This window comes from Homo sapiens, chromosome 2, assembly GCF_000001405.40.
Source record: "Homo sapiens chromosome 2, GRCh38.p14 Primary Assembly".
In the NCBI taxonomy this organism is placed as follows: domain Eukaryota; kingdom Metazoa; phylum Chordata; class Mammalia; order Primates; family Hominidae; genus Homo; species Homo sapiens.
In genome coordinates, this window is record NC_000002.12 from 174,542,153 (window position 1) to 174,554,010 (window position 11,858).

Below are 11,858 nucleotides of genomic sequence, written 5' to 3' on the forward strand. Positions count from 1 at the left end.
AGAATATTTTCTTTCTTCATTTTTGATCACCCCTCAACCCAACCATCAAGTTACACACCCCTTCAGACCCCCTCCTCACACCAACTCTCTCCTTTGTACTGTTTCAACTGATTAGAAAATGATTTACTTGAGGCCGGGTGTGGTGGCTCATGCCTGTAATCCCAGCACTTTGGGAGGCCAAGGCGGGTGGATCACCAGAGGTCAGGAGTTTGAGACCAGCCTGGTCAGTATGGTGAAACCCTGTCTCAACTAAAAATACAAAAAGTAGCCAGGTGTGGTGGCGCATGCCTGTAATCCCAGCTACTCTGGAGGCTAAAGCAGGAGAATCACTTGAACCTGGGAGGTGGAGGTTGCAGTGAGCTGAGATTGCGCCACTGCACTCCAGCCTAGGCAACAAGAGTGAAACTCCATCTCAAAAAAAAAAAAAAAGTAAAGAAAAAGAAAATGGTTACTTGGTTCTAAATTCATTTCACAGATACAGTCTCCATGGGAAATAAACAGAATGCTCATTAACCTTCAGTGTATGTACATAGAGTTTTCTAAGTTCCCACTTACAGCAGCTATTTTTGGCTGTGTCCTGTTTTAAGTGCTGGTAGGGCCTCCTCCCACTATAGGGGCTGATCAGCCACTCACTATTTGAAGCCTGGGTGTTTTCTGGGGAGCTCTTTCTCCTCATCATAATGAGGACACTCTTGTCCTTTGGCCTTCAGGTGATGTATTAGGAAGTTATTAGAGCTGCAGTGGCCCTCTTCTGACCATAGAGGCAAGCTTTAGGATTAAAACCGATGTGCCCAGGATGATGGGTTGAAATGTGGAAAGAGTCTAGGTCCTCAGTAAGACACTGAGTCACTGAATTATTAAATAGGAGAATTGGAATTTGTGAATTTTCTCTCTTGCAACAAAACAGTTCCCGAGTTTCAGACTGAATGTACAAGCTTAGCAAGCAGAGCCAACCTGCAAATGCCCTACCTCCACACTTCTTATTCTAGGGGATTATGAATTTAATCTACTTTAGTTGATTACTTGCAGCTGCAAACAACCAAGCAGACACAGTGATTAAATACAAATAAATCTATTCTATGTTTCTGTTTACTATATATTTAAAGCTTTGATGGAGAGAAGAAGCCAATGGAAACTGACCTTGAGTTTTCCATAAAACTGAACTCTTCCTTGATGACCCTAATAGAGCTAAAACTATGATTGAGATTGCACAAAGCATTGAATCATCAAAAGTAACGTATTATGATGTCATATATTAAATAAACTCAGCTTTTGGTAGGATATAAGTTGAAAAAGCACACAGCAACTTAAAAGTGGAGATGGAGGCTTAGAAACTTCTATGTTGGTGAGAGGAGGTGGAATTAGAATATTTTCCAAGGATTATTCTCAAAGCACATAACTGAGAATTGACTTTGAGTGTTGGCAATAAAGGAAGACTTTTCTCCTATTACGATATGCTAGACATAACATTCTTATTAAAGTAAGGAGGAGAATTGGAGTTTCTGAATCTCCTCCTTTGCAACAAAACAGCTCCCCTGTTTCAAATTGAATGTACAAGATTAGCAAGCAGAGAGATGAAGATTTAAGAAAAAAAGTATGGGCTGGGTGCAGTGGCTTACACCTGTAATCCTAGCACTTTGGGAGGCCGAGGCTGGAGGATGGCTTGAGTCTAGGAGGTCAAGACCAGCCTGGGCAACATAGCAAGACCCTATCTCTACAACAAATACAAAAATTCACCGAGTGTGGTGGCGTGCACCTGTAGTCCTAGGGACTTGGGAGGCTGAAGTGGGAGGATTGCCTGAGTCTGGGAGGTCAAGGCTGCAGTGTGCTGTGATGGTGCCACTGCACTCTAGCTTGGACAACAGAGCGAGACCCTGTCTCAAAAAAAAAAAAAAAAGAAAGAAAAAGAAAAAAAGTATGATGTTCAAAATCTATTTAAGAGGGAGCCATAGAGCTTGAGAAAGCAGAGGATAGCTGATGATCTGCCCTGTTCTTGCTCCTGCTTCTTATATTTTGCATTCCCACATTGTGTTGTATGGAAGCAAAACATCATTGTTTTACTGGTGAGTAGATTGCACCTTTCTCCTTGCAGACAAGGTGGTGACAGCAACCGGTTCCAGGAAGCCCCTGGTAACAACCCTTCTTTGTGTTGTGTGAGGAAGCTATGGCTCATAAGTGACCTCAGCAGATTTCCCACCCACTACGCTGGGTCCCTCAACTCACAGAGACTCATTGTTAAGGGCTTTCACTCTGAACAGCTGCTGGCGCTTGCTGGCTTCATTCACTATGAAGATGGTGATCAAACACCCCAGATTTCAAATAATCTGTCCTATGATCAGACCATGGGTCAGCCCATTTGCCCTGGTGTCTGATTAGGAAAGTATGATCACTGTCACCATAGAACAACGCCTCCCAACTTCTCTACCCACTTGGATGTTTTCCCCACTCACTTCATTGTTTTGGATATCACTTTAGATTGTGGCCCTTCTCTTTCTGCCAGAAGCAAAATTCCCCCATGTGTCTACAGTAGAAATGCCCTCTCTTCAGGGATCATGCCTGAAATTCCATTTCGTCAATTAAAATTAGACAAAGTATGGCAGGAGCCTAGCTCCCTTTGAAAAGCTACCTACCTAATCAGTATTCCAAGTGATTTAAACGTCCATTATCACAATAAAGTTCAAAGCCTTTAAAGATGCATGAAGTGATGCATTCAAGCAGGTGAACATTACTTGTCTTGGAAAAGTCACTGGAGGGTGGAAGGCAGGGTTAGGGTTCAGCTTTTGAGATTAGATAAGAGCAAAGAGCAACTTCAAAACTCCCTGGGGGCAGGCTTGCTGTCACCAGTGGTGGGGCAGGCAGTGGGCTTACTGTTCTCTCTGACACTGTGGCTTGTGTGACCAGGGCACAGAATATGTCAGAATCTTGGGTATCTTCTATGGTACTTAGCCCCGTGAGTCAGATACACCAGAGGTGCTGAGGGGATGCTTGTAGACTCGCTTTTACAGATAACTTTCACGTAGATCTAATGTGTGTGGCACACCAGATCGATGCATTTGCAACCACCTTCCTGGTCCACAGCGTCAAAACATGCCTGAAATGCCAAGAAGAATGTTTGTATTTGAGCATAATTTTTCAGGGAGGCAGTGCTTTGATTTTCCTGATTTTTTTGTGTTTCATTTTTTTAACCTGACTATGTAGCAAGAATATTAGAAATAAAATTTAGGAGAGGATAGACAATCCTTGGGTGTATGGAGACAGGGAATGGCTCCCGGCAGCTGAATAAATAGCATGCATGTATCTGGCTTTCTGGGCCCTACCCAAGCCTTTTTACAACTACCAGGTGTTTTATAGACACATTTTTCTATGAAGTAGTCAAACTGTAAACAGCATGAATCCTGAATGATAATCGTGTCTTAATAATAATAAAAGAAAGAAAATAAGAGACAAGCATCACGATTTTCCCAATTGAAATGTCTTTTGGTTTTGCCTTTGGTGGCACAGGGTCAAGGGTGTGGGGGCATTTGTGTGGCATTCACTATTCTTTCAACCTGTCCTGATTATGGAACCCTTTAAGGTCCGTCCACTTGGAACCACGGTGCTCTGAGAGGACGCTGAACTCACAGCAGCCCACACACAATTCCAGTGATACTACTGCAATGTTTTGTACACAGAATCTTAGGTTTGTTGGGTAAATGTAGCATCATATTTTGTTTTAGCAATTTGTGAACAGTCTTGCTTCTCTTCACACTTATAAGCTCATCAGGCTAAGGATTAAATCGTATGCACCCAAATACCTCTTAGTATACAAACGTCTGCACTCAGTAGCGTTTCTGGCTGAGCAGGTGGAAGAAGGGCCACGTTCGCCAATGTCATGAGGGGCCAGCATCTTTAACCTTCACGCCCACATCACCAGCCTTGCCTTCTTCACAACAGAAATGTTGTCCCACTTCCTTTCCAGGTCTCTCAGATTCATGGTACGAGTTGGAAAGAGACCTGAGAGATTATTTAGGCTAAACGTTTCATTTTATAAATGACAAAATTAGGGTTGAGCAAAATGTGGTGATTTTGTCTGTGCAAAGCCAAGAAAAAAAATTAGAGCCTCTTAAAAGTCATTTTTCCCCTGAAATAAAGTATCTTCATTTCACTGTTAAATATATGTCCTCATGTAGTTGCTATAATCAACCACTTCTCAAGAAAACTCTAAAAGCTGTATTTCCCATATGACACATTTCAGAATATTACATAAGAAGCTCTCACCAAGACACCAAGGTAAAATATATATGACAAGCCAAAGACAGGTGCCATAAAAAAATAAGAAATCTTCAAAGGGGAAAGAAATTCCAAAAGTGGCAACATGACACCACTCATTCTCTGCCTACTTTCGAGGTAAGACGATGTTGAAGTTCTGAGGGGGCTCAGTAAATAACACCTCTCTTCCCCCTCCAGGTCCTGCACAAATTGAAAACATAAAAGGTAGCAGATGGACTCAAATGCCACCTTCATGACTGAGGTGCCAAGCTGGAGGGCAGGAGTTGCCCTCTGGTCCTGGTTTAGGCTGACCTTCTGAACGGGGCCTGAGGGCAGGACCACACGGGCAGGGATCAGAAAGGAGCTGGAGGAGAGCTCAGAAGGGAGGGCGGGCCCAGCTCTCTTGGCGGCCAAGGAAAAAGCCTGGCATGTTAGAGCTGGTGCAGGACTCTCCAGGGTGACCGAGCCACCCAGAAGAGGGAAAAGCCATTCTCCATAACAAAAAGTCAGGACCGGCTGAAAGCCCCTCCCAGCCCTCCACCCTCCTTCGGCGGGGCTTCTTTCTGAGCTTTGCCCCATCCCTGCCCCGTGCTGGTGACTGGTGTTTGGCTCCCTCCTAGAGAAAGAGATGGGCCTGGGTTGGTTGAGAGAGAAAGAGAGAGAAAGGGAGAGACAGAGAGAAGGCTTAGCTCTTGTCCAACAGGGCCACCTAGAGGGACTCTCAGGCTTGAGCGGGAGAAGCAGAGTTTTGAGGCAGAGCTGATCAAGGGAACCTCAACAAACAACCCCAGCCATGGAGGCGGCGGTGTCTTTGAAGACCCCATGAGAGCATCAAACAAGGGAGAGAGGTAACTTTAAATACCACAACCTAGCCCAGGAAGAAAGAATGGGCCCTCTGAGACGATCAATTAATTAAGAGCTTTTCTCCCTTTCTCCCTCCTCCTCCTCCTCCCTCTTCCTGCTTTGAGCCTGGAACAAATCATGGTAGTAAAATGGCGGCAGAGAGCTAGTAATGTGTCTGCAATTGGTGGGTTCTTGGTCGCACTGACTTCAAGAATGAAGCCGCGGACCCTCACGGTGAGTGTTACAATTCTTAAAAGTGGCGTGTCCGGAATTTGTTCCTTCTGATGTTCGGAGTTTCTTCCTTCTGGTGGGTTCGTGGTCTCGCTGGCTCAGGAGTGAAGCTGCAGACCTTCGCAGTGAGCGTTACAGCTCTTAAGGTGGTGTTTCTGGAGTTGTTCGTTCCTTCCGGTGGCTTCATAGTCTCGCTGGCTCAGGAGTGAAGCTGCAGACCTTCGCAGTGAGCGTTACAGCTCTTAAGGTGGTGTTTCTGGAGTTGTTCGTTCCTTCCGGTGGCTTCATAGTCTCGCTGGCTTCAGGAGTGAAGCTGCAGACCTTCCTGGTGAGTGTTACAGCTCTTAAGGCGGTGCGTCTGGAGTTGTTCGTTTCTCCCGGTGGGTTCGTGGTCTCGCTGGCTTTAAGAGTGAAGCTGCAGACCTTCACGGTGAATGTTACAGCTCATAAAGGCAGTGTGGACCTAAAGAGTGAGCAGCAGCAAGATTTATTGCAAAGAGAGGAAGAATAAGGCTTCCACAGTGTGCAAGGGGACCCCAACAGGTTGCCACCGCTGGCTTGGGCAGCCTGCTTTTATTGTCTTATCTGGCCCCACTGACATCCTGCTGATTGGTCCATTTTACAGAGAGCCGAGTGGTCTGTTTTGACAGGGTGCTGATTGGTGCGTTTACAATCCCTGAGCTAGACACAAAGGTTCTCCACCTCCCCACCAGAGTAGCTAGATACAGAATGTTGATTGGTGCATTCACGAACCCTGAGCTAGACAGAGGGTGCTGATTGGTGTGTCTACAAACCTTGAGCTAGATACAGAGTGCCGATTGGTGTATTTACAATCCCTTAGCTAGACATAAGGGTTCTCCAAGTCCCCACCAGAGTAGCTAGATACAGTGTCGATTGGTGCATTCACAAACCGTGAGCTAGACAGAGGGTGCTGATTGGTGTGTTTACAAACCTTGAGCTAGATACAGAGTGCTGATTGGTGTATTTACAATCCCTTAGCTAGACATAAACGTTCTCCAAGTCCCCACCACACTCAGGAGCCCAGCTGGCTTCACCCAGTGGATCATGCACCCAGGCCACAGGTGGAGCTGCCTGCCAGTCCCACGCTGTGCGCCTGCACTCCTCAGCCCTTGGGTGGTCGATGGGACTGGGCACCGTAGAGCAGTGGGCGGCGCTCGTCGGAGAGGCTCTGGCCGCGCAGGAGCCCATGGAGGCCGGTGGGGGAGGCTCAGGCATGGCGGGCTGCAGGTCCCCAGCCCTGCCCGGCGGGAAGGCAGCTAAGGCCCGGGGAGAAATTGACCACAGCAGCTGCTGGCCCAGATGCTAAGCCCCTCACTGCCCGGGGCCGCAGCCGCTCCGAGTGCCGGGCCCGCCAAGCCCACACCCACCCGGAACTGGCACTGGCCCTGGCCCACAAGCACAGTGCGCAGCCCCGGTTCCTGCCCCTGCCTCTCCCTCCTCACCTCCCCGCAAGCTTAGGGAGCCGGCTCCGGCCTTGGCCAGCCCAGAAAGGGGCTCCCACAGTGCAGCGGTGGGCTGAAGGGCTCCTCAAGTGCCGCCAAAGTGGGAGCCCAGGCAGAGGAGGTGCGGAGAGCGAGCCAGGGCTGTGAGGACTGCCAGCACGCTGTCACCTTTCAGTAGGTGGACGACAAGAAAAGATGTCTCCCGCCCCTCTTTACCTGGCTTCCTGGCTGCAGAAGGCCCCACACAGGTGAAGGGAGAAGCTTCAACTTGAAATCTGGTTTTAAGAATTGATTATGGGCCAGGAGCTGTGGCTCACCCCTGTAATCCCAGCACTTTGGGAGGCCGAAGTGGGCGGATCAAGAGGTCAGGAGATTGAGACCATCCTGGCCAACTTGGTGAAACCCTGTCTCTACTAAAAATACAAACAATTAGCCGGGCGTGGTGGCAGGCGCCTGTAGTCCCAGCTACTCGGGAGGCTGAGGCAGGAGAATTGCTTGAACCCGGGACGCGGAGGTTGCAGTGAGCCGAGATAGCGCCACTGCACTCCAGCCTGGGCGACGGAGCGAGACTTCATCTAAAAAAAAAAAAATTGATTATGACACAAAACTAGATATTCTAACTTCTCAGTTGAGACTGTTGGAGACTTAGAGTGACTATAGGACTTTTTATTACTTAAGAGTGATTAAAACGAGTTGTAAGATTATGGAGATTTTCATTCTGGAGCAAGAGAAGAACTTTTCCCCTATTGAGTAATCTGAAAAGGACAGCGGGAATCAAAAACAAGGTTGCTTTCTCCTTTGAATATATTGTTTTCTTCTTCAAATCTAAAAATCTGTTGATTTCATGTTTTCCCTTTTATTTCTCTAACCCACTGAAATGTGATTGCTTCTGGTATCCCTAAGTTTATCAAGCATACTACTAAACCAGCATTTGGGACATTAAGAACACTGGACACTCCAACTAACCAGGGGCTGAATCCTACTGACTGCACTCGCTATGTTTTGTCCAGGTGGCACGGTGCCTGGGAAGCAACTGCAGGGCTGTTCCTCCAGCAGTTTATGAACTCAAGAAGTAAAATGAGAGGAGAACCCAGGGGGCACCAGGCTGCTGCCTCTTGGTTTTGGTTCAAAAAAAAAGAAAAGAAGAACAATGATAAATGTATTACAGTCAGTAACCGTTTCTGATTTACACTCAAGGTGGTCTTGCTATGATCTCAAAGCGCTCTTCCAGCAAACAGCACTGCTATTAAAACCTGTTGGTGATACAAATTGTTTAAGAATAAAAATCGGCTGGGTGTGGTGGCTCACACTTGTAATCCTAGCACTTTGGGATGCTGAGGCGGGTGGATCACCTGAGGTCAGGCGTTCAAGACCAGCCTGGCCAAGATTGTGAAACACCTTCTCTACTAAAAATACAAAAATACAAAAATTAGCCAGGCATGGTGACGGGCACCTGTAATCCCAGCTACTCGGGAGGCTGAGGCAAAGAATTGCTTGAACCTGGGAGGCGGAGTTTGCAGTGAGCTGAGATTGCACCACTGCACTCCAGCCTGGGCGACAGAGCAAGACTCTGTCTCAAAAAAAAAAAGAATAAAAATTAAAAACACACACAAGAAAACAAAGTAAAACTTGTTGGTGAGTAAACCGAATGAAATATGTTAAATCTCTGTCCAATCCTGTCCAAAGTCAGGCAGAGGAGGCCAACTTGAGTACTTATCACCATCTCCCAGCACCTTTTGTTGTTTGATTAGAATAGATTCCCTCTGTAAGACATTAATGATTTCCAAGGCTGCTTTAAGAAGTTTCTTTGTTATACGGGAAGTGATTGAGAACTGGCAATCATGAATCTGGCTGTCTCTGCTCAGGAGCTTAAAGACTGTTCTGATGACGATAATTACATTTTTATGAATATCCTGCCTAGAGAGTAACAATTTTACTATGTCAAACCGCACCACACAAAGATGCATCAATTTCATCTGCAATGAAAAATAGAGCCTAATAGTACAGTTATATTTATATGATAGTCAAACATCAAGATGTAACGTAAGTGCTTCAACTAAAAGAATTCCGATCATTATTTAACCTTGAGATGATTAAGGTGAAAGCTTGTCAGCTTCCATGAATTACTTTTTTCATGATTTTTGCTGTTTTGGTTTGATTTTTAAAAATCCATAATTAACATTTATTAACATTTGGATTCTACTCCAACCTCCATGATGTGTGGGCAAGGGAAAAACAACAACAAAAAAGATCCATAGATATGATTAATGGTCAAAGAGAGAGTATTAGGTAATTATAAGTCATAATTATGTTCTTGGTAAAATACCATACTAACTGGTTTTCTCCTTTCTCCTTTTCTCTGCTAAGTTTCTTCAACTATAATGCAAATTATGGACAATGTATTTAGGTTAGATGCTATACATACATATTAATTTAATACAAAGAAAACTGTTTCATTGTGATTGTGCACCAGAGCTATGCCAAGTGTGGTCTGAGAACCAGCAACATTAAGCATTACTCAAAAACCTGTTGGAAATGCAAATTCTCAGGCGTTACCCCAGATCTCTTGAATCCGAATCTGTAGCAGTGGGCACAGGCCCCCGGGACTCTGTGTTAACAAGCCTTCCAGGAGGTGCGATGAGGTGTGAGAATCACTGCTCCAGCATCTTGTAACTCATTCTCCCCTGGCTAAAGTGAAACATAGGTAAGTGTGGAGGCTGCAATCCCAGCAACGCTGTACGTGTTCCCTGTTAGCTGGAGGAGGGGGCATGTGTTCCTAGAAAGGGGGCCCAAGCGAACAGCCTGTTTTGGCCACGTCTCTTGAGTCCAGGTTCCTCTCCATTGGGTTTTCTCTTCTCTTTAAATCTCCTGAGGTCCCAGTGTGCCCCAGGCCATAGTTTCTTCCCATTACCAGTCATAGTTGTTGTTTAACCTCTGTGGTAGGAGGGGTGTTTATGATACTCCTCATCATGTGAGGACTTCCACCACTCTGAAGCACCCTGTTGGTGCTTCCCCTCTATCACTGAGACTTCATTTCCTTGACATCATCTTGAGCTGCTTAAACATTTTTCTTTTTCCCAGACGGAGTCTTGCTGTTTTGCCCAGGCTGGAGTGCAGTGACATGATTTCAGCTCACTGCAACCTCCGCCTCCTGGGTTCAAGGAATTATCCTGCCTCAACCTCCCGAGTAGCTGAGATTACAGGTGCCCGCCACCACACCCGGGTAATTTTTATATTTTTAGTAGAGACAAGGTTTCACCATGTTGGCCAGGCTGGTCTTGAACTCCTGACCTCGTGATCTGCCCACCTTGGCCTCCCAAAGTGTGCTTAAACATTTTTAACATCCGCCGTGATACTCTTCTATTTTTCTTTATGGCAGAAGTAACACTATTTACCTTTTGACAGCACAATGGACCAAAATTGTTTACCAGAACTCACCAGAAAGTGGCATGGAGAGGGGCCACACATTGCCAACACACTGAAAGAAACGCAGTAGAACACACACTCAGTACAGAGTGCTGATGCTCCCTGGCCGGGACCGCACAGTGCTGTTACCGTAGGAGTTTTCTTTGGCAGAGAGGATAGGGTAGCACGTAGCATGAGGGAAAAGTGTCATCAGAATTTGGTGACAGATAGATAGACAGATATAGAGATATTTTTTATTGTGGTAAGAACATAACAAAACTCACCATCTTAAATATTTGTAAGTGTATGGTGAATAGTGTTAAGTATATTCACACCGTTGTGAAACAGATCTCCAAACTTTTTAATCTTGTAAAACTGACACTCTATACCTTTTAAACAACTCCCACTTCCCCCCTACCCTTAGCCCCTGGCAACCACCATTTTACTTTCTGTTTCTATGAATTCGATTACTTTAGATAGCTCATAAAAATGAAATCATCCAGGCAGGTGCAGTGGCTCACACCTGTAATCCTAGCACTTTGGGAGGCCGAGGCAGGAGGATTGCTTGAGCCCAGGAGTTTGAGACCAGCTGGGCAACACAGTGAGATCCCCATCTCTGTTATTAAAAAAAAAAAAGAATCACTCAGTATTTGTCTTTTCTTGAATGGCTTATTTCACTTAGCATAATGTCCTCAAGGTTTACCTAATAGAAACATTTTTGAAGGAACGCATATTCGAGACAATAGCATTCTAATGAATCAGCACACATGGGACAGTGTTAAATGAAGTGAATCAGTATGACAAAAAGTGAACACCATCTTGGTGATTTAATCTTCGTATTATTTCATATATTCTTTTTTGTTTTAATTTATGCAGGCTTGGCTGGGTTTGGTGGGTCATGCCTGTAATCCCACCACTTTGAGAGGCCAAGGCGGGTGGATCATTTGAGGTCAGGAGTTCCAGCCCAGCCTGCCCAACATGGTGAAACCCTGCTTCTACTAAAAATACAAAAATTAGCCAGGTGTGGTGGCATGTACCTGTAATCTCAGCTACTCAGGAGGATGAGGCAGGAGAATTGCTTGAACCCAGCAGGCGGAGGTTGCAGTGATCCCAGATTGCATCACTGCACTCCAGCCTGGGCGACACAGAGAGACTTTGTCTCAAAAATAAATAAATAAATAAAAATAAAAATGAAATGGATGCAGGCTCCATCGTCTATGGAGATGGACTCATCCACATTATTTCATATATGCTATATATTTTAATACTTTTTTTGTTTTATTTTTTAGTCCAGGTTCCAGGCTTATGAATACATTGTTTTAGAGGCCCAGTGCAAGGGCAAAATCTTTAGAGTGGTGCTTCTGAAATCTGAGTGTGAATCAGAATGACCTTGAAATTTGTTAAAAATACAAATTCCCTGGGTTCCAAGAGATTCTAATTTTGGTAGGTCTGAGGTGGAGCCCAGGAATCAGCATTTAACAAGCACTCCAGGTGATTCTTTCCTTCTGAGAGACACTGCAAGTCTAAATCAGCAGGGTAGAGCAGTGCCTTTGAGGGTGAAGCAGTGAGGCTCAACCCCTTTCACAGGTGTTGTACCTTCTTTGGATCCTCCTGATGCATTGTATCTGGACTTTGAATAACAATTAATGTACTCTGCCTAGTTCTAGA

At 45.4% G+C, this 11,858-nt stretch overlaps 2 long non-coding RNA genes across 2 annotated transcripts in view; one reads left to right on the forward strand and one right to left on the reverse strand.

Annotated features, from left to right (window-relative positions):
* Positions 1–5,871, reverse strand: part of LOC124906097 (uncharacterized) — a 26,801-nt gene extending 20,930 nt beyond the window's left edge. The window contains exon 1 of the long non-coding RNA XR_007087309.1: positions 2,631–5,871. This is a non-coding gene — a long non-coding RNA (uncharacterized LOC124906097). The remainder of the gene's footprint in view (positions 1–2,630) is intronic.
* LOC124906096 (uncharacterized) overlaps positions 1–7,927 on the forward strand; it is a 26,663-nt gene extending 18,736 nt beyond the window's left edge. The window contains exons 2-4 of the long non-coding RNA XR_007087308.1: positions 4,235–4,386; positions 4,952–5,096; positions 5,217–7,927. This is a non-coding gene — a long non-coding RNA (uncharacterized LOC124906096). The remainder of the gene's footprint in view (positions 1–4,234; positions 4,387–4,951; positions 5,097–5,216) is intronic.